Source organism: Homo sapiens, chromosome 2 (genome assembly GCF_000001405.40).
Source record: "Homo sapiens chromosome 2, GRCh38.p14 Primary Assembly".
Lineage (NCBI taxonomy): Eukaryota > Metazoa > Chordata > Mammalia > Primates > Hominidae > Homo > Homo sapiens.
The window spans coordinates 129,738,166-129,759,193 of NC_000002.12; the positions used below are offsets into that span (position 1 = coordinate 129,738,166).

At 47.7% G+C, this 21,028-nt stretch overlaps 1 long non-coding RNA gene across 1 annotated transcript, besides 6 other annotated features; it reads right to left on the reverse strand.

Annotated features, from left to right (window-relative positions):
- Nucleotides 3,388-3,584: a silencer, noted in NCBI's record as "fragment chr2:130499126-130499322 (GRCh37/hg19 assembly coordinates)". NCBI's record gives its function as "represses an EF-1alpha promoter that drives an FKBP-Casp9 reporter gene in an ReSE screen in phorbol 12-myristate 13-acetate-treated (for megakaryocytic differentiation) K562 erythroleukemia cells {active_cell/tissue: K562(+PMA)}" and the evidence as "EXISTENCE:reporter gene assay evidence [ECO:0000049][PMID:32094911]".
- On the reverse strand, nt 4,803-5,725 carry LOC124907889 (uncharacterized). Its single transcript, XR_007087236.1, has 2 exons — nt 5,613-5,725; nt 4,803-5,090 (listed from the first exon to the last, which is right to left on the reverse strand). It is a non-coding gene; the product is annotated as an uncharacterized LOC124907889 (long non-coding RNA).
- Nucleotides 6,193-6,694: an enhancer, noted in NCBI's record as "H3K4me1 hESC enhancer chr2:130501931-130502432 (GRCh37/hg19 assembly coordinates)". NCBI's record gives its function as "activates a minimal SCP1, AML or CMV promoter by ChIP-STARR-seq in naive H9 embryonic stem cells {active_cell/tissue: H9 hESC(naive)}" and the evidence as "EXISTENCE:reporter gene assay evidence [ECO:0000049][PMID:30033119]".
- Nucleotides 6,695-7,194: an enhancer, noted in NCBI's record as "H3K4me1 hESC enhancer chr2:130502433-130502932 (GRCh37/hg19 assembly coordinates)". NCBI's record gives its function as "activates a minimal SCP1, AML or CMV promoter by ChIP-STARR-seq in naive H9 embryonic stem cells {active_cell/tissue: H9 hESC(naive)}" and the evidence as "EXISTENCE:reporter gene assay evidence [ECO:0000049][PMID:30033119]".
- Nucleotides 9,555-10,167: an enhancer, noted in NCBI's record as "H3K27ac-H3K4me1 hESC enhancer chr2:130505293-130505905 (GRCh37/hg19 assembly coordinates)". NCBI's record gives its function as "activates a minimal SCP1, AML or CMV promoter by ChIP-STARR-seq in primed H9 embryonic stem cells {active_cell/tissue: H9 hESC(primed)}" and the evidence as "EXISTENCE:reporter gene assay evidence [ECO:0000049][PMID:30033119]".
- Nucleotides 19,506-20,127: an enhancer, noted in NCBI's record as "OCT4-NANOG-H3K27ac-H3K4me1 hESC enhancer chr2:130515244-130515865 (GRCh37/hg19 assembly coordinates)". NCBI's record gives its function as "activates a minimal SCP1, AML or CMV promoter by ChIP-STARR-seq in naive H9 embryonic stem cells {active_cell/tissue: H9 hESC(naive)}" and the evidence as "EXISTENCE:reporter gene assay evidence [ECO:0000049][PMID:30033119]".
- Nucleotides 20,128-20,750: an enhancer, noted in NCBI's record as "OCT4-NANOG-H3K27ac-H3K4me1 hESC enhancer chr2:130515866-130516488 (GRCh37/hg19 assembly coordinates)". NCBI's record gives its function as "activates a minimal SCP1, AML or CMV promoter by ChIP-STARR-seq in naive H9 embryonic stem cells {active_cell/tissue: H9 hESC(naive)}" and the evidence as "EXISTENCE:reporter gene assay evidence [ECO:0000049][PMID:30033119]".

A 21,028-nucleotide genomic window follows, 5' to 3' on the forward strand; every position in this document is an offset into this window, starting at 1 on the left:
CCTTCCATTCTGAACCCATCCCAGGGAACAGGGGAAGTTCTGTGCTCTCTGGGCCACAGCCTGGCACTACGCCTCCGATACAGGCAATTCTGTCTTCTCGCCGTCCCCTGCACAGTCTTCAGGGCCTGCTCAATGCCACCTCCCCATGACGCCTGCCCACGGTGCCCCAGCTGAAAGCCTCACAGCACCACCCAACTGGCCCAGACCCTCTGTGGATGCATCTTAGGGCAGACTCTGCCTGCTGAGACCCTTCGAAGGTGCTCCTCCATGTTTCCCTGGGGTCCTCAAGCCAGCTGTGACCTGGGATTATGCCACAGGCCAGAGAGCTGATTCAACCCCTCCTCGGGGCAGCGCTTCTCAACTTTTCACTGTGATTATCATCATCACCCCCTAAGAAGAAAAACTGAGATTAATTTTAAGAGAGAAATTAAGGAAACGAATAGGAAAAGCAGTAGAGATTGTTAAAGCTGTTCACAGAAAAGAGAAGTAATGTCAGTGACGATGTCAGATGTGCAGTAATTTAATTTAATTAGAGAGAAATTAAGCACTGAGGAATGAGTTTGCCATGTAGGACCAAGGCCTGGAGGCCATGGACCATTGTAAAATCTGTTGATTTGCACTCCCAGGAACCAATCTTCTCTCCCTGGAGGACGATATCACCCTGTTGAAAATGCACGCCATAGAGGAGAAATTCAAGTGAACAATTATGTTAAAATGTGGCCTTGACAAGACCTTCCCCCAGCCACACGTCCCCACGTCCCCACGTCCCCACGTCCCCACGTGTTCGCAGACGGTTTGGGCCAGCCGGGTGGTGCTGTCAGGCTTTCAGCTGGGACACCATGGGCAGGCGTCATGGGGAGGTGGCATTGAGCTGGCCCTGAAGGCTGTGCAGGGGAGGGCGAGAAGACAGAATTGCCCTTTCCCGGAGGGGTAGTGCCAGGCTGTGGCCCAGGGAGCTTGGAACTTCCCACAGTCCACAGAAGGCGGCCTAGTTCCCCACTTCTCACAGCTCTCCAAGATCTGGAGCGCAGCGCCACCTCCTCTCCAACTCATCCCCAAGCCCAGCCTTGGCCCGGCATTCCTCCCAAGGTTCCCACCACTGCTTCAAACTCAGTTTGCCCCAAACTGTGAAGCACCTCTGCTTGGGCAGAGGAAAAATACTTCCAAATGCCTTCCCAGAAAACAGGGAAGAGCTTTCCCCCAGAAGATAGGATCCCTGTATTGGAACAGAGCTCTGCTGTCCCCAGGACCCTACCTTCCCCAGGTTCTGATGGACAACCCTGTGCCCACATAGGGCTAGGCCATCCCAGCCCCCGCGGTATGGAGGAGGTTAACCGAAATGTGAAACTGGGTAACAGCTCACAGTTTTATAGTCCCTGTAATTATTTACCAATTAAAAAGAACCACAACTGTTTATCATAGGGCTGCGTGCATATTAATGGCCGGCAGGCTATTCGTGTGATGCTTCTGCTGGGGAAACTCAATATTACTTGATGCCTTACTACAGAGCTTTCTGACAGGGCTTTAAACATCAATCAATTATTTAAAGTCCCACATATATTGACTTTTTTTAATTACAGAGCTTTCCAGAGCTGAGGGAACGTAAAGGAAGAAAGAATGAGTTTGCTGCAAAGAACACTCCATTTGTCTTAGATTTTGATCTATTTCCCTTCTGCTTTATTAAGACCTCGCTTTGTTTTATAGATCCTATGACCAGGTGTCGATTTGTTTCCAAGACATGGTGCTTGATTATTTTTTCTTGGGACAGGAGCCTCTCCACCTTAATTGGCATTCTGGGAGGGATGGAGCCTTCTGGAGAGGGCGTGCATTCTGAGCAGTTCAATGTTGCTTCTGCAGTGCTGGAGGCCCCAGGTAGCCTCCCTGATCCACAACGTTCACTCTGGTTCTATTGGGAATATCACACCATGGAAGGGGATAACAAGAGCGTGCAGGTCTGTCTCCAAAGAGAGGACCATAGCTACACATTAGAAAATAGAGCTACATTTATGAAAACTTTATATACGAGATGTGATTTAAAAGACAGCCAAGGGAAATACAAGGGGCAGTGTTTCTGCGTCTGAGAGCAGCCTGCAGTCCAGCAGTCAGGCAAGCTCACTGACTTCTAACATCGAGCCTTGTCCTAGAAACTGGAAACACGATGTGGATGAGGGAGAGCGGCTGCCCTCAAAGAGCTTTCAGTCTACTGGGTAAAGGTAGCCAATAAACACTTAAGCAGATAAAGAGGATAATTTCAGATATGGAGAAGCTGAAATGGGTGTCATGGAGAGGTGAGGGAAGTGCTATTAGGGGTGGCCAAGGACAGCCTCGCTGAGATGGTGACATCTGAGGAGAGGCCTGAATAACAAGAAACAGGCAATCGTGTGCAGAAGTGAGAGAAAGTCACACCAATGGCAGGAATAGCAGATGCCAAGGCCCTGAGACAGGATGTGGCATGTTTGAGAGAGACAAGAAGGTGCGTGTGGATGGGCATGAGGCCAGAGTGTGGGCAGTGTCCAAGGCACGCAGAGCCCTACAGGGCACCGCGAGAAGGCTGTGCTCTCTCTCCTGGGCATCAGAAGAGGCCTCCGGAAGGCTCCAGCAGGGGCATCCAGGATCTCCTTTGTGCATAGAAACAGCACGCTGGCTGCTGGACAAGAAATGGACCCCAGCAAACAAGATGGGGTGGGGAGCCCAGTAGAGATGCTACCACCATAACCCAGGTGAAAGGTGTGCTGGGCTGGACCAGGTGGGCACAGTGAGGAGCATTTATGGCCAAGATATATTTTGAAGATGGAGTCAAGTGGACTCTGAGGACCAAAGACAGGCATGGCAGAGCTGGGCAGGGAATTGGCTCTTACCCTGGGCCAGGGAGCAGCTGGGAGGCCATGGGAGCAGGAGTATATCTGGCCCCGGGTCCCCAACATGAGTCTCTGCAGCCCCTGCCTTAAAAATATAGTGTATTAATAGAAAATCCAAGGCATATGAAGCCCAGCAGACCAGGAGGTGACTGCCATTAGATAGTCTGTACTCACAGTTCCCAGAGGAGGCACATCACCCACACTGGGCCACGGAGAAACACGGAGGTGGGTCAGGAGGCAGAAGGAGGGGAAACATGGGCAGGAGTCTTCACTGTGGTTTTGTGGGAAGAAAGAGGAGAGGCAAGGGTCCGCGGGTCCAGGACTGGCTGCTTTGCATAACCTCGGGGCTCTGTTCTGCAGCAGCTGTCCCTAGTTCTCTGACCTGACTTTGGGGTGACTAGGGAAGGGGGACAGTGGCCTGGAGTATGAGAGTCCCGTAGAGGAGTGGGTAAGACTCTGGATTGCTTGGTTCGCATGGGAAAGGCACAGAGTTGTTCCCTGTCTCTAGGAACTGACACCCTGGGAGGAGCTGTCCCTTCAGTGTCAGCAAGACACTAGATGTCAAAGCCTCAGAATACAGACCCTAGAAGGCAGGATGCACACAGCCTCCCACCTGGCCTCTGCCTCTGCCCTGCCCACCTGAGTGCACCCTGCCTTGGGCAGCTTGCTTTCCCACACTAAGGCGCACTCCTAGAGAGCCCTGGCCCTCCCTTCCTCCTGCCTGTTCCCCAGCTGCAACCCAGCCCAGCCACCACAGTCTTTGCCCACACTGCTCTACCCCCACACTTGCCCCGGCTTTCCTGGCCGGCGGTTCCGAGGCTAGCAATTACCCTAAGGGTCCAGGAAAGGAGCACAGGGGAGAGGAACAGCAGTGTGCTCAGCTCTGCTCAGGCACGAGCCAGGACACCATGGTCCTCGAGAAATAAACTCCAGGCCGGGTGCGGTGGCTTACGCCTGTAATCCCAGCACTTTGGGAGGCGGAGGTGGGCGGATGACCTGAGGTCAGGAGTTCAAGACCAGCCTGGCCAACGTGGCCGTCTCTACTAAAAATACAAAAATTATCCAGGCGTGGTGGCATATGCCTGTAATCCCAACTACTTGGGAGGCTGAGGCAGGAGAATTGCTTGACCTCCAGGAGACGGAGGTTGCAGTGAGCTGAGATCACACCATTGCACTCCAGCCTGAGCAACACGAGTGAAACTCTGTCTCAAAAAAAAAAAAAAAAAAAAAAGAAAGAAAGAAAAAGAAAAGAAAAAGAAAAAAGAAAAGAAATGAACTCCCCACACATCCAGCGCCCCAGGCTCTAACAGCCAGGGCTGGCAATTTAGTTAGGGCACAGAAGGCCCACTGCAGCCTCGCCTGGGGATGCGCTATACTGTTCCTAGGAGGATGGACTCCACGCTTCTCAGTTTGAGGTCCTGTGACAGCAGCAGACCTCTGGCCAAGGTCTTCTCAGCTTCTAGCTGGCCAGGTATGATGGCACGCCTGGCTTAAGGCCCACGGGGACCCTCCTCAATCCTTTCTCACACCTCAGCCGCGGCCACTTCACCCCTCCCAGCCTCCCTAGCACAGGGCTCCATCAGGGGCTGTGTGGCTGCGTGTGGCTGCGTGTGGCAGGTGAAGCAGGTGAGGTCTGGGAGGGTGGCGCCCAGTCCCAGCTGAGCACTTGCTCAGTGTACTGACCTTCTTTGCACTCTCTCTCCCCAGCCTGATTTCAGAGCCATTTTAGATGGGGAGGATTCGCCTACTATATCCAGCCGGGCTGTGGGTACCAGGAAAGGGATTGAAGAAACATTCTGTCTAGGGCCGAGGAGCAGCTCCCAGTCTGCAGCCCCCACGAGTGCAGAGGCTTTGTGCTCTGCAGGTGTTCATCCGCAAATGAGGAGCGGTACTGGCTCCGCCTCTGTGGAGAATCAGGACAAAAGCCTTCAGGACACAGAAGGATACAGTTATGCATATGTGTATTAATAACGAACGGATTTGTGAGCCGAGTCCTCAAAGGGGATTATCCTGGGGACGGGGTTTCCAGTGCATTTGCTCTGAGGTCTTGTCTTTGGCTACTGCTGCATGTCGGAGACAAAGTTCAAGCATGAGGGATAAACGTAAACCTCGGATCTTACTGTTTTCTTCTGGAAGGTGGGCCTCCGTCCTGTCCACATTCTTGCAGAGCAGTGAAGCTGGAAAGTCTTCTGATTAAGCAAGTCTCTCCTCACACCCGAAGCACATTTGTTCCTGGGGTAGGACGTGGGAAGTCAGTGTTGGACTAAGGGACCTGGCTCACACTCCAGGTGAACTTGGAAGAACTTGTAACCCCCATCTCCGTTTCCCCCATGTATTAAGTGAGGGCTTTAACACCTGTCTTTCAAACCTTACACAAGTGTTGTGAGGTTCAAATAAGAACATAGGAAGCATGAACCTACATGATAAATGAATGGAACCATTAACTGTCAAATGCAATTAGCAGATTCTTAGTCAATAAAATTTACTGTGGACAAACGAATGACCTAGGATCCCCACTCCCCCTACACACACACACAAAATTGACTTTAGCTAAAAGAAAAAAGCATTTCTATGTTGTAGTATTAGGTAGGTCAGCCAGCCTATCTCTGTGTGTAATTCATCCTATAAGCAACTAAACCACATAGATTCCCATGAATATGTGTGGATTCTGATAACAGTGTCAAGATACAACTATTCCATTGGAAAGACACCCCAGCCATGATACCAACAGCGTCCCGGATCCTCCCTCCTTACCCCAAGATCGCTGTGGCCAAAGTCCTCCTCTAGAACTTTCTTGACAACCTCTTTTCCATCAGAGTCTTCATTATGCCCCAAAGATTATTCATGGGCCTGCTAACCATTGATTTCTATATTCAGGGGAGAAACACTTTAATTAACAGAACAATCAAAATGTGCTGGACTATTTTTCATGGCTCACATCTGCTGAAGAAATGCAAAGTGTTAATTTAGGAAGGTATCAATGTGTCTATTGTAGATAATACAATGCGCATTGCCTGGTACATTTTAAAGGAATTGGAGACAGGCACGGGGCATATGCAATTATGAGCTTTGTGAAATACAGATACGACATCCTGTGTTAATAAAAACCCTGGACACCACTGAGCATGAGCAAGTGATGGAAAAGGCGCTAATTATCACTGCAGGTTGGGGCAGTGAGCCTCAGCAGAGATGACACGGCCTTTCTGCAGGTGGGAAAGGGCTTGCTTTGGTTTTTGCTTTTCACAGAAACATCTTTACATATAGATGAGGTCATCTTTGATGTGTGCAGAGACCATCCTGAGGGCCTTTCCAGGCATCCTGGGCCACCACGCAGCCTCCTACCTCCAGTGAGACCCTCCCATCCATTCCTCACCTGAAGGCGCCTTCTTGCTGCGCCTCACATAGCGGGAGGAGACAGTGAGCTTTCTGGGGCCTCTTTTAAAAGGGCATTGATCCCATTCTCAAGATTCTCAAGGGCCCCACCCTCGCAAGAACCCAATCACTTCCCAGAGGCCTGAAGGCCCCACCTCCTAATGCCTTCACCCTGGGGGTTAGATTTCAACATGGAAATTCTGGGAGAACACAAGTATTCAGTCCATAGCAGAGGGCCCCACAGTGTCACCTGTGCCAGGCCCACAGCAGGTCCTCCAGAAACGTTCGTGGAATAAATGAATAATCAAGCGAATGGGGGAGCCCTTGAACAGAGCCAGCTCAAGTCTCTGACCAGTTCCTAGGGGCTCCACATGAGGCCGGCCTGTGAACACAATGACAAGCTAACATCTGTTTAGAGTAGAAGGGGGAGTAGCCTGGGCGGGTGTCCAGAGGCAGCACTGGCCAAGCCTGAGCTCCACCTGCAGGAAGGAGTGGACCCGCAGAGCTCTCCCACTGCTAACCCAGGCTGAGGGACAGCTTGAATCAACACAGCAGTGAGCCCGCGGCAGGCCCAGGAAGGCTGATGGCCAATGTTCCACTCTAAGAAATGTTTCCTCCTTCTCTTATGAGTAGATAAACAAGCATGACTGTCCTTCTGTGTGACTGGGCCACTGCGGTGGGAGGGGATCTAAATAAAGAGGAGTAGATTGTCCCAGAACATTAGCTGGAGGTGTTGCTAGGGTCAAAGCTCCACAAAGTACCTGAATGCAGGAAGAGGGGACAGAGCAGCAAAGCCCAACCCAGGGCCAGCTTTCCTGAGAGAAGAACAGGATCCAGGAAGAGTCCAAAGACGCCATACAGAAACAGGGCTATTGATATTAGTTAAATAATAACATGAGAGGGCCCATGGCCCTCAACAAGTAAGGGCTCCTGTAGGTGAGGCTTCCTGCAGGTGAGGGAGAAAGAGAATGGGAGAAAATATCTGCAAATCATTTATCTGATAAGGGACTTGTATCCAGATATATGAAGAACTCTTACAGACCAATAAGAAAAAGTTAAATAGCCCAATTTTTAAAATGGGCAAAGAATCTGAATGAACATTTTTCCAAAGAAGAGATACAAATGGCTAAGCACATTAAAAAAATTAACATCATTAGTCACTAGGGAAATGCAAATCAAAATCACAGTGAGATTCCATTTCACACCCATTTAGGATGGCAGTACTCAGAAAAATAAAATAACAAGTGTTGTGCAGGATGTGGAGAATTTGAACCCTCGTACATTGCCTGTAGGAATATAAAATGATACAGCCACCATGGAAAACAGTATGGCTGTTCCTCCAAAAGTTAAACATAGAATTACCATTTGATCCACCTATTCCCCTCCTATGTACATACATACCCAAAAGAATAAAAACAGATACTCAAACAAATACACATACACCCATGTTCATAGCAGCACTCTTTACAGTAGCCCAAAGGTAGAAACAGCCCAAATGTCCATCAATGGATGAACAGTGATATGATTTGGCTCTGTGTCCCCACCCAAATCTCATCTCAAATTGTAATCCCCAGGTGTCAAGGGACAGACCTGTTGGGAGGTGATTGGATCACAGCGGTGGCTTCCCCCATGCTGTTCTCATGAGACCTGATGGTTTTAAAAGTGGCAGTTTCCCCTGCGCTCTCTCTCTCTCCTGCCATCTTGTGAAGAAGGTGCTTGCTTCTCCTTCCCATGATTGTAAGTTTCCTGAGGCCTCCCGAGTCATGCAGAACTGAGTCAATTAAACCTCTTTCCTTTATAAATTACCTAGTCTCAAGTAGTATCTTTATAGCAGTGTGAAAACAGACTAATACAAATGGATAATCAGATTGTGATATATCCATACTATGGAATATTATTCAGCCATAAAAAGACATGAAATACTGATACATCCTGCAACATGGATGAACCTCCAAAACAATATACTAAGTGGATGAAATCAGATACAAGAGGTCACATATTGAATGAGTCCATTTGCATGACATGTCCCCGTTAGATAAATCCATACAGACTGAAAGTAGATTGGTGATTTCCAAAAGCAGGAGGGAGGGAGAAATGGGGAGTAATTTCTTAATGGGTGTGAGGTCATAATTTGAAGTGACAAAAATGTTTTAGAACTAGATAGAGGTGCTGGTTGCAGAGCATTGTGAACGGGTGTACCAAATGCCACTGAATTGTTGACTTTAAAATGATGTATTAGTCCATTTTCACACTGCTGATAGAGATACCTGAGACTGGGAAATTTACAAAAGAAACAGGTTTAATGGACTCACAGTTCCACATGGCTGGGGAGGCCTCACAATCATGGCAGAAGGCAAGGAGAAGCAAGTCACATCTTACATGAATGGCATCAGGCAAAGAGAGAGCTTGTGCAGGGAAAATCCCATTTTTTAAACCATCAGATCTCGTGAGACTTATTCATTATCAGGAGAACACCACAGGAAAGACCCGCCCCCATGATTCAATTACCTCCCACCAGGTTCCTCCCACGACACATGGCAATTGTGGGAGTTACAATTCAAGATGAGATTTGGGTGGGGACACAGAGCCAAACCATATCAAATGGTTAACTGTTTTATATTATGGGGATTTTACCACAATACATATGTTTTTAACTATCCAGTGTGTGCAGATTATATATGGAGGTAAGAACCACAAGAAATGAAACTGATTGTTCATAGCAAGCAGGGCCAGAGATTGGGATGGGTGGGAAGTGGGCGCTGCTTCTCATTGGAAGTCTCACTTAACTTAGTAGCATAAAATGGAATGTATCAATTTGATGAAAATAATTTCTTATAACATGCATGAAACTAGTTTTTTCCCTAACATGGCAGATTAGAGGCTTTTAGCTTGCCCTGGCTACTTGGAAATAGCAAAATAGTGCATAAAGACCAACTCTGAGTTTTAACTCAAGAAGGAAAATAGGAATCCACAAAACAGTGAAGGACACCCCAGATCCTAGGGAGGAGAAGGCAGGCAGAAAGCCCCGTGACAGTATCCATCCAGCCACTGAGAAAAGTGAGTGAAGCCCCAGGACCTGCGAGGGGCAGAACACCTCCCCTATCCCCTAGGGATCCAAGCAACCCACAAAGAGGGGAGCACTTTTTCTCTCCCAAGTCCTGGAGCTGACTCAGAGACAGGCTTGGAGACACTGAGAAAGAAAGACACCTAGAAAAGCTGCAGGCATTTTCCCAGACCTGGGACTGAGAGCAGGATGGCCTTTTTAATCCAGGCTCATACAGAGTCAGTCATTCTTTGGCAACCCAGCAGCATGGCCATGCATGCATTTTGGTCTCAGGCCAGAGACTGGAGTGCTTCCTCTGGAGCAAGTTAGGGGCCTACACAGCCAGAATTCATGGCAAGTGTGGAAAGTGCCCCAGCAGTAGGCACTGGAATTGTGATCTTCCCTGTCACAGGTCTGAGGTGGGAGGAGAGCTGCTGCAGCGTGGTTTCTCCTCGTCCCAGAGACTTGTGGCCAGCGCCTAGTTGGCAACCTATAACTGGTCTGTGCACGTCATTGCCGGGGTCCCAGCCTGCTCCTCTGGAATTGTGGTGCATCAGGACCCGCTCTTTTCCATCCCCAGGCATTCAGAGCACCTGCTCACCCAGATGAGAAGCCTGAGTTGCCCCACCCTTCCTGAGCAGAGATCCTGGTACAGGAGAGCCCTCTCTGCTTCATGCCCAGGCAGGCCGCCAGGCATCTGGAACCCACCCTCTCCTGGATTAGGAATTTAGGCAGCCACCTGAGGTTCCCATGCAGAGCTACTTGGGGCCAAAGAGGTTTTCTAGCTCCACGCCTAGGAACATCTCTGGGCACTGGTGGCTGCCCACTGGACTCCCACTCAGAGCTGGTGCTTGTGCCACAGCCAGCTCCTACCCATACAAGCCACCGAGCCACTCGTTGGCTTAGAGGCCAAATGGGGCAGCACAATAGAAAATCTGCTAACACCAACGCAGAGCAATGGGGAACTAGAGGAGCTCCTGAGACTGCTGCCTCCCTGCCCCCACAAGAGGCACAGGCCTGCCCACACGCCCAGCATATGCCACTACAACCAGCATCTGGGGAAGCCACCATACAGAGGCCACAGTAACCAAGGAACTCAGACAGGCTCTTTGCTAGTGAAAACACCCAGACCCAGAGAGCTAAGCCTTGGCCCCTAAGAGAGTGATGGACCCAGCACAGCCCGCCAAAGCCTCCCTTGAGTCAAAGGAAATGCAGGCATGACACTACCGTTGGCCTGAAACAGACTCAGAGAGGGGTCTTTCCTTGTTGCCCTCCCTCCTTAATGCACTGTTGTTGACTCAGCAGCAGCTCTTCCTGTCTGGGTTCAGGGAGGATGGGCTAAAAGAGACTGCTTCTGGGACTGCTCCAGCAGCTCCATCCTCACTGAACGTGCATTTCACCCTTCTCCATTGCCTCTGTCCCCACCCGTACCTGCCAACTCTTAATCTTAAGCTCCACCTACTGGACAACAGCCTGAACCTGTATGCAATCAAGGAACACGTACAGTGCGTTGGCACACTGAAAGCGCCCAGAGACAAAGCCAATGGTTCATACACAGTATACACCACAGTCATTCCTTTAAGAGAAAAAAGAGCTTAAAAATCAAGAAGCTTCATTCAAAGAATAGCAAATTCAACATAAAAGAAAGAAGCAGCAGCAGCAGCTCTCTCAGATAATAAGGAACCTACACAAGAACTCTAGCAATACAAAAAGCCAGAGTGTCTCATCACCTCCGAAGGATCAACACCAGCTACCAAGCAATGGATCCTAACTAGAATGAAATGTCTGAAATGACAGAGAATTCAGAATGTGGGTGGCAAAGAAACTCAATGAGCTCCAATAGAAAGCTGAAATCCAACACAAAGAAAACAGAACAAATTATCCAAGTTTTGAAAGACAGCATAACTACGTTAGAAAAGAACCAAACAGAACTTCTGGAAATGAAAATTTCACTATAGGAATTTCAAAACATAGTTGGAAGACTTAACAACAGACTAGACCAAGCAGAAGAAAGAATTTCAGAGCTCAAAGACTGGGGCTCTGAATCAACCCAGTCAGACAAAAATAAAGAAAAAAGAATGTTAAAAATGAACAAAACCTTCAAGAAACATGGGATTTTGTAAAGTCACCAAATAAATGACTTAAGAAAAGAAGGAGCAACTTGGAAAATAGATTTGAGGATAAAATTCAGGAAAATTTTCCCAAACTTGTGAGAGAGGTCAATATGCAGATACAAGAAATCCAGAGAACTCCTGGAGATATTGTACATGATGACCATTACCAAGGCGCATAGTCATCAAACTAGCCAAGGTCAATGCAAAAGAAAAAATCTTCAAGGCAGCTAGAGAAAAGTGTCATATTACCCATAAAGGGAAATCCATCACACTAACAGTTGACTCTCGCAGAAACCTCATAAGGCAGAAGAGATTGGGGGCCCATTTTTAGCGTTCTGAAAGAAAGAAAATGCCAGCCAAGAATTTCGTATCCTGCCTCACTAAGCTTCATAAACGAAGGTGAAATAAACTCTTTCCCAGAAAAACAATCAGTAAGGAAAATTGTCACCACCAGACTGGCCCAACAAGAGATGCTTAAGGGAGTTTTAAATATGGTAATAAAGGAACGAACGATACTTGCTACCATGAAAGCACACACAAGCACATAGCCCACAGACCCTATAAAGTAACTTGCTAACAACACTAGGACAGGAATGAAACCTCACATATTAATAGTAACCTTGGATGTAAATGGCCTAAATGCCCCACTTAAAAGACACAGAGTGGCAAATTGGTAATTAAAAACAAGACTCATCCTTCTGCTCTATGCAAGAGACCCATCTCACAAGTCACGACACCCATAGTCTCAAAGTAAAGGCATGGAGAAAGATCTATCATGTAAATGGAAAACAAAAAGAGCAGAAGTCACTATTCTTGTATCAGATAAAATAGGTTTTAAAGCAACAACAGTCAAAAAGGAAAAAGAAGGGCCCAAATAGCCAAAGAAATTTTACGCAGAAAAAATAAAGCCAGAGGCATCACATTATCCAACTTCAAACATACTACAAGGCTACAGTAACCCAAACAGCATGGTACTGATACAAAAACAAACACATAAACGAATGGAACAGAACAGAGACTCCTGAAATAGAGCCACATACCTATAACCAACTCATCTTTGACAGTCAACAAAAAAAAAAAAAAAAAAAATGGGGAAAGGACACACTATTTAATAAATGGTCCTGGGAAAACTGGCTAGCCTATCAACATATATAAAAATTAATGCAAGTAGATTAAATACTTAAATGTAACACCTCAAACTACAAAAATCCAGAAGAAAATCCAGAAAATACTCTTCTAGACATTGGCCTAGGCAAATAATTTATGATGAAGACCCCAAAATCAAAAATAGACAAATGAGACTTAACTGAAGAGCTTTTGCACAGAAAAAGAAAAAAAAAAGAAACAAACAAAAAAACACCTCTCAACAGAATAAACAGACAACCTACAGAATGGGATAAAATATTTGCAAATCATGTACTCGACAAAGGACTAATCTCCAGAATCTATAAGGAACTTAAATGAATCAACAAGAAAGAAACAACCCCATTAAAAAGTGGGCAAAGGACATGAACAGACACTTCTCAAAAGAAGACATACAAGCAGCCAACAAACATATGAGAAAATGTTCAACATTACTAATCACCAGAGAGATGCAAATCAAAACCACAATGAGATACCACCTCTTACCAGTCAGAATGGCTATTATTAAAAAGTCAAAAAATAATAACTGTTGGAGAGGTTGTAGAGAAAATTATATGTTTATATACTGTTGGTGGCAATGCAATTAGGCAGAAAGCAGTTTGGAAATTTCCAATGAACTGAAAATAGAATTGTCACTCAACCCAGCTATCTCATTACTGGATGTATTCGCAAAGGAAAGTAAATTGTTATACCAAAAAGACACTTGCACCCATATGTTCATCACAGCACTATTCACAATAGCAAAGATGTGGAATCAACTCAGATACCCATCAATGGTGGACTGGATAAAGAAAATGTGGTACATAATGCCATGGAATACACCATTGCCGTAGAAAAAGAACAAAGTCATGTCCTTTGCAGCAACATAGTTGCAGCTGGAGGTCATTACCCTAAGTGAACTAACACAGGAACAGAAACCAAATACCACATGTTCTCACTTATAAGTGGGAGTTAAATCTTGGGTTCACATGAACTTAAGATGGAAACAGTAGACACTGGGGACTCAAAAATGAAGGAAGGAGGAAGAGGGGGAAGGGGGCAAAGGCTTAAAACCTTCCTATTGGATATTATGCTCATTATCTGGGTAACAGGAACAATAGAAGCCCAAACCTTATTACCACACAACATACCCTTGTTACAAACCTACGTATGTACCCCTGAATCTAAAATTAAAATCTAAATTTAAAAAATAGTAAAACTAGCAGTAAAAATGGCAGGTGGAAAAATCTTCAGACATGCAAGAATTCAAACGATATAGTACCCACAAGTCCCAGTTTTTAAACTTTTATTGAAATTGTTTTAAAAGTTAATACTCAGAGTTTGTAAGATCATTTTCTCATTAGGATAGCTTAAAGAAATAAGTTATTTACCTTTAGAATTCCTAAAGTGTCCAGAGAATTTCCATCAAGTACAGTTGGGCTTAGTGAAATTAGAAAATAGCTTGATACCCACTGGAAAACATTGTGGGGAACTGAAGGAATCGTCTAAATATGTCACAGCAAAAAGATAGCAATGGAGAAACCACCTGGGGTCATTTGACCTGAGGAGGTGAGATTGTCTGCCTGTGTGAGGTGTTTTGAATACTTAATGTATTCTATATTAGCCTTGCCTGGGCAGGCATGGCCATGACCGCAGAGCAGGAATCATGCCTTCATTGCAGAAAATCCCTGGAGCGATTCAAGATGGGTTATGACTCCAGATTAAGATCCAATTAACTGAAACATTCCTGAGACAGCAGGAATAACCCTTGTACAGTATTTTCAATTTGAAATGCACTTTATAACTTAATGGGTCTGACAGATAGAAATCTAAATATTTCAGTTCCCCAGGACTGCCCCTCCATTAGGCAAGCATGAACACACTAACCCTCACACACACATAAGTCAAGAACTCACAGCACAAGTATTAAGATATAAACCTCTGCAGCCTCCTTTTAGATGCTTTTAGCAGAAAAACAACTTAGAGATGATAAATTTGCCATGAGGATGAGCTGGTTGTGACAGGGGCCCCTTCCCCATCCCAGAATTCATCATGACCAGTTCAGTGAGAGTCTCTGAGGCTGGCAAGGCCCAACAAAGAGTGGTTCCGGGTTAGGCGGGTAGCGTAGGGGCAGGGGGGAAGCTCCCTGAAGGATGTTATGATGCTATTTGATAATTCTCAAAGAAAACTTTGGCTGAGGGTTCATGCAAACCATAGCCAAAAGGAAGACAAGCTAGAACCTCAAAGGAAGCCGGACGGTGTGTCCAGCCCAGGAGCGAGGCGGCAAAGGAGCCGTTCAGGGAGCTCAGGAGTTCTGCAAAGGTGGGAGGTACCGAGATGGAGGCTGAGTGGTTCGGAAAGAGGGCCCTGGAGTATCCTGCCCACAGACAGTGCAATTTTTCTGCAAATCTTCCTTCCTCCTCTCCGCTTTCCCTCATCTCCCTCAACCAGCTTCCCTCCCAAGGCCAAACATTGAGGGACAACTCCCCTCCCCTGGAGAGGTTTAACCAGCTGTTCCCTCAGTATGCAAGCCTTCTGGGGAACTAGCTCTGCCCACTTTGCCAATAGAGTGGAGAGGAAGAGATTGTTTTCCAAGCCAGACATGGAATACATCCCATCAGCGTGTGTTGAAGATGATAAAGCTCTCCTCCTTCGGTCTCCTTTCCTGCGAGCCATCTTTACCTGCCACTGCATGCTCTGAAACAGAGATTCTCACACTCTATCCTCTACCGGACTCACCTGGAGAGCTGTGAAATGCAGAGGGCTGCGACATTCCCAGGTGGTGATGAAGTTGCCGGTGTGGGAACCACATTTTGAAAACTACCACCTAAATGTTCTTCCCCAAGCATTCCGCACATTCTCTAAGCCTCCAGGCATGTTTGATAGCTGTGTGACCTCAGAGACGTCCTTTAACCTCCCCATGCCTCAGTTTCCTTATGTGTGAAATGAGGAAAATAATACTTTCCACCATATAGGGTTGTTGTAGGGATTTAATGAGCTAACATACGTAAAGATTTAGGACAGTGGGCCAGGCACGTTGGCTCACGCCTCTAATCCTAGCACTCTGGGAGGCCGAGGCGGGCAGATCACGGGGCCAGGAGATCGAGACCATCCTGGCTAACACGGTGAAACCCTGTCTCTACTAAAAATATAAAAAATTAGCTGGGGGTGGCAGGCGCCTGTAGTCCCAGCTACTGGGGAGGCTGAGGCAGGAGAATGGTGTGAACCCGGGAGGCAGAGCTTGCAGTGAGCCAAGATCGTGCCACCGCACTCCAGCCTGGGCGATAGAGTGAGACTCCATCTCAAAAAAAAAAAAAAAAAAAGATTTATGACAGTGGCTGACATGTAGTAAGCATTGTATATGTGTTTGTGATTTTCACTGCCTCCGTCCAACAGGAAGCTCTGTTTCATTGCACAGGATTCTATTTCAGGAGTCCCCCTTATCCAAGGTTTTGCTTTCCAATGTTTTAGTTACCCATAGTCAACCACAATCTGGAAATAGATGAGCACAGCACAATAAGGTATTTTGAAATCAAGAAAGACCACAGTCACATAACTTTTTGCAGCATATTGTCTTATTTTATTATTAGTTATTGTTTTCATTTATTATACCTAATTTACTTTAATTAAGGTTTATCATAGGTATGTGTGCATAGAAAAAAACAGTGAATATAGGGTTCGGCACAATCAGTGGTTTCAGGCATCTTGGAACGTATCCCCCGTGGATAAGGGCCGACCGCTGTAATTGATGTATTCATCATGTCTGGTGGGAACCCTGCTAATTTTCTCACAAGAAAATGGATCAGCTGCAGTTGTGTCTGCCAATACCCCAGTTGGACGTTTCCAGTTAGATGCCAGCTGTACATTTCTCTTCACAGGTGAGTACATTCCTTGGCGCTTTAAGTGATCACGTGCCTTCCGAATGCCAGGTGCGGCGCCCGCTCTGCGCTGCTCGCTGCAACTGCTCCCACCCTTTCCCAGGGCGGGTGCTCCACTGCGCCATTCCCCTCAATCCAGGGATTTAACTTCAGCGAGGCTGGGAGCGCTCCGAGGCTGGCCTGTCCAGTCCAGGCAAATCTTGGGCAATTATTTTACTCTGTGTCATAGATTTGTATCTTTAAATAAACTGTAAGTTCTTTATAGACAGCACTTGTATCCCCTGTGCTGGCTAGAAACGTGTGGCCTGCTCAGTTCCTCACCTACAAAACGGGGATAAAGGCACCCCCTTCACAGGCCTCTGCAAACACAGGTGAGGCAATGGCTGTGAATAAGGGCCTGGCACACACTTGGTGCTCAGTACAAGTGCATCCTTTCAGCACCCACCATGTGGAATGTCTGTTGGCCTCTCCCCAGATGCCTGGGACAAAGGCGGGCTCTGCCATCTCTGACCTCGGCACTCAGCACAGTGCCTGGCACATTTGTGGCTCAGGAAGTGCATGCAGAGTTGTGGGGGGGGCTCTCAGTTATGCCCCTGGAGGACAGGGCACCCTCCCTGCTGCAAGAAGAGCTGGTCCTGATGAAGGGAGATCAATCATTCTCTCAATCGTCACGTCTGCATTGAGTATTGATTGCTACGGTGTAGCTGCTGCTCTCTTAGGCGATTGTAAATTGATCGTTTGATGATTTGTTCTGCCATCTTCTCTCTTTTCCTGTTAAGCTGAGAGATATCTAATGCTGGCCCCATCCTTGCCGAGGATGGATGTTCTATGGCTGATACTCCTTGGAGGCCTGCAGGGGACTTGAGGAGAACTGAAGGGGGCCAGGGAAGTCCATGCAAACGTTCAATTTTGCTCTAAGCTAAGAGAAGTTCTTTCTTCAAGTATTTGATCTGATCCTCTAAAAACAGTGGTTCTCAAAGTGTGGTCCCCAGGACTGGGAATCTATTGGAAGTTCAAATTCTCAGGACCCAGCCCAGATCTGCTGAATCTGAAACCTGGGGTGACGTCCACCAATTTGTGTTTCAGTGCCTTCTAGGTGATTCTGATGCATGCCCCAGTTTGAGAGTCACTTCTCTGGAGACACCAGGAAGAACTTAAGATGGAGACTGTAACCCTTTGTTGAAGATAAAGAAACTCAAAACCAATGCATATGATTTGTTCTGTCTAATGCGGGGAGGCAGAGAGAGAGGAGAGAGACAATTAAAATACACCAGTGCTTCCGCAGATGCTCTCATGAGTGTGCCAGGCTGAAACTCCCAAGGGTCCACTTGGTCTCAGGCACTCTAATTCCAGGTGCCTCAGGGGATCCCAAGTGAAGATGTCCAGATAGCAACTGGATATAGGATCTGAAGCTCCCATAAGAGATGGGGCTAAAGATGAGCAGATGACGATCTCCATCCCTGGGGGTCTCTGGAGCTGTGAGACCACATATGGAGGGAATGCATGCAGGGAGGGAATGCCGGCAGACGGGCACGGGGGAGGCATGAAGGAGAACTCGAGAAGTTCGGCTCTGAGGACATGACTCTCTTGTTTGCTTGGCTGGTTTTTGTCTGTGTAAGACCAGAGAGATGTAAGGGTAGGAAGGAAGAGGTGGGAGAGTTTGGAGATGCGGGAGTAAGGGGTTCATGGACAGGCGAGTTCCCTGAGCAGAAAGAAGGGGAGGAACCCAGAGCCCAGAAGGGCCGACAGCCTCAGAAAGAGAATGAGCACAGCCCTCCACTGTAACAAAAGGAGGGAAGAAGAAATGGCTGCAGATGCCAGGTGGCAGCCAGGCTTGCGGATGGAAACTGGAGAAACCCCAGAATGGCTTCCATGTTCCCAGAGAAGTGGGGTCACCCGCCGAGGGTGAGGGAGGAGCTTGGGGTGGGAGAACAGTGCAGACATCTTGAACTGTTGTTGCTGTCATTGCCCAACCGGGTTCTTCTCGCCCACTGCCCAAAAAAGACAATGCACTGAGACTAGCAGGAATTGCACCAAAGAATTTAATAATTGCAGGGTCAGCCGAATGAGGAGGTGGGGAGAGAATTCTCAAATCTGTCTCCCTGAGAATTCAGAGGCTAGGGTTTTTCCGATGCTTTGGTAGGCAGGGGCCTAGGGAATAGGGAATCCTGATTGGTTGGGCTGGGGATGAAACCACAGGAGTGTCAGCACTGTCTCTGTGCAGCCAAGTCGGTTCCTGGGAAAGGGATCACAGTCCAGGTGGTGTCTTTTGGTCTGCCAAAATGCTAAATCTGCAAAACATCTCAAAGACCCATTCCTTACATTTCACAATAGTGATGTTATCTATAGGAGTAGATGGGGAAGTTAACCAACCTTGCAATCTCCAATTACCTGATTCAGGGGCAGCAAACCAATGGCAGGTCATGGTTTCCCTCTGAGTCTTCTCCAGCAAAGCTCAGGCCCTACCATATCCTAACCTTGTCTTATAGATGCAGTTCAATCTCCAAACAAGGAGGGGTCAGTTTTCCTTGCCTCAAAGTTTAACTACAAACCAAATTCCTTTCATAGCTCTCTTGGCCTCCAAACTTGAATAAGCAAAAAAATCAACTTAGCCTGTGAGGCTAGAAGCAAGATGGAGTCTGTCATGTTAGATTTTTCTCATTACATGTAACTCTGCAAAGGTGGTTTCATTGCCGAGAGGGGAAGAGCACGTGAGCCAGCAAATCCAGCAACAGTGCTGGGGGCAGGGAGGGTGGCCTGACCAGCCACTGCGGGAGTCTTTCCACTCTTGCAGGCAGCCCTCTGCTTTCTCTCCCGAATGTGCCCAGAATAAGTGTCCCAGACATCTGTCTCCAACCTGTGGGGAGAAATTTCACAAAAAATGGCTCTGCCCTTAGTGGGTCCAGGCACCAGGCAAGCTTGGTTCAAATCTTGGCTCTGACTAGAATTTAAATGGTGGCCTGGGGGTGGCTGAGGGGCCACCCAGCACCTCATCTGCCATCTGCAAAGAGGGAGAGGGACGATTACACACCGATGCCATTAGACTCAGCCTTGATGTGCCCAGCACCTGTGCCACGCCGGCCAACAGCTGTGGGTCCACAGTAGATGGTGGCTGCAGCTGAAGCCACCTCGTGGGCTCTGCATCAGACACCTACAGATGTGTTCCTTGAACCACATGCTGGGAGAGGCCCCGGCTCAACCTCCTTTTTTTTGCCCAAATCCAAAGTCTCTTGACCGTGAGCCACAACAACGCTTGTCAGTATAGGCTGAAGTGGCCATTCCCTTTAAAAAGACATCTCTGGGTGTTCTAGGATTCCAGGGTCAGCTAAGCTGCTAAGCTGGTCTTCCTTAAAGAGGCTTCAACATACCGAGCCTGCCCAGGTCCCCAGAGATGGGAGTGTGGCAACAGTGGATATGGACAAACAGCTTGCTCCAGCTGGGGAGTGGAAAAGCACCCAGGCTCCACAGACCCCACTTTCCTCCCCACTCTTGCCCCAGGGTTTGCAGGAGGAAAGAAAGGAGCCACATCTCACACTCAGAGAACCAGGGAATAAAGATGCCATTCGATTGCTGAGGTCCCAAAGGAAGTGGCCTGCAAAACGTGACGCTGCCTCAGGCAGAGCAGCTTCTGGCCCAGAGACCTGCATTACAGAGCTTGGAACCGGTTTCCAGGCTGAACGCTGATCAAGCTGCACTTCTGAAACTAGGCACATTAACACTCTCATTAGGGCCCAGGCTCGCTACAATACAGGCCTATTTAAATGTAAATTTTGACATTCAGCCCAGGACTAGAAAAGAAATAGTTTCCACACCTCAGCAATGGAAAGGAGAATGAGGATTATGAAGGAGGACTTTTTAATCATGTTTACTTTCAGGCCATCGTGGTTCTAGGTCTTTTTTCCTTCATGGAGAATACTGGATTTTTAATTACCCGAAGCTCAGAGACAGCATCCCAGCCTCTCAGATTCCCCCTCGTGGCCACAGATAGTCTGATTAAGTGTAATTTTGTTAAAAGTGTAGCTCCAAGCACAGTTAATTGACAGGGGTCCTGGAGAAGCTGAAGCTAATCCAGGAATGAAAACATGTAACTCTGCTGAAAACGAAAGGAGCCCTGCTCGTCTCATAAATCACACCGGAGGGAGAGTGCCGCTCTTGGTGGCTCCCTCCCCTGGGCTCCAATCCCAAGCCTTCCAAGTAGCCCAGCGACTTTCCAGCAACATTAGCCTATCTGAGCCTCAGTTTGCTCATCTGCAAGGTCGGGCGAGGACCCCCAGCAGAGTGCTGTGAGTGTTCAGTGTGCGTCCAGGAGGGTGGGCACCCATGCCCCACACCCTCACAGCCCCTGCCTCACCCAGCACCCACAGCAGCCCAGCTGCCTGCAGGAGCCAGGACCGAGCGCTCACTTTTCTTATTATTGGTGGTTCTGCAACCCGAGGATGGCAACCAACTTCTGCAATCCCAGCATGCTTGTCTGTAGACAGCAGAGCCCCACCTTCCTGGAGGCTGGGTGAGGAAACAAATGGTATCACGCGGGTGGAGGAAGCACAGCCCCACCGTCCTGGAGGCTGGGTGAGGAAGCGAATATGGTATCACCCGGGTGGAGGAAGCCTCTCCCTGGGTTCCCTGCAAGGATGGCTCATC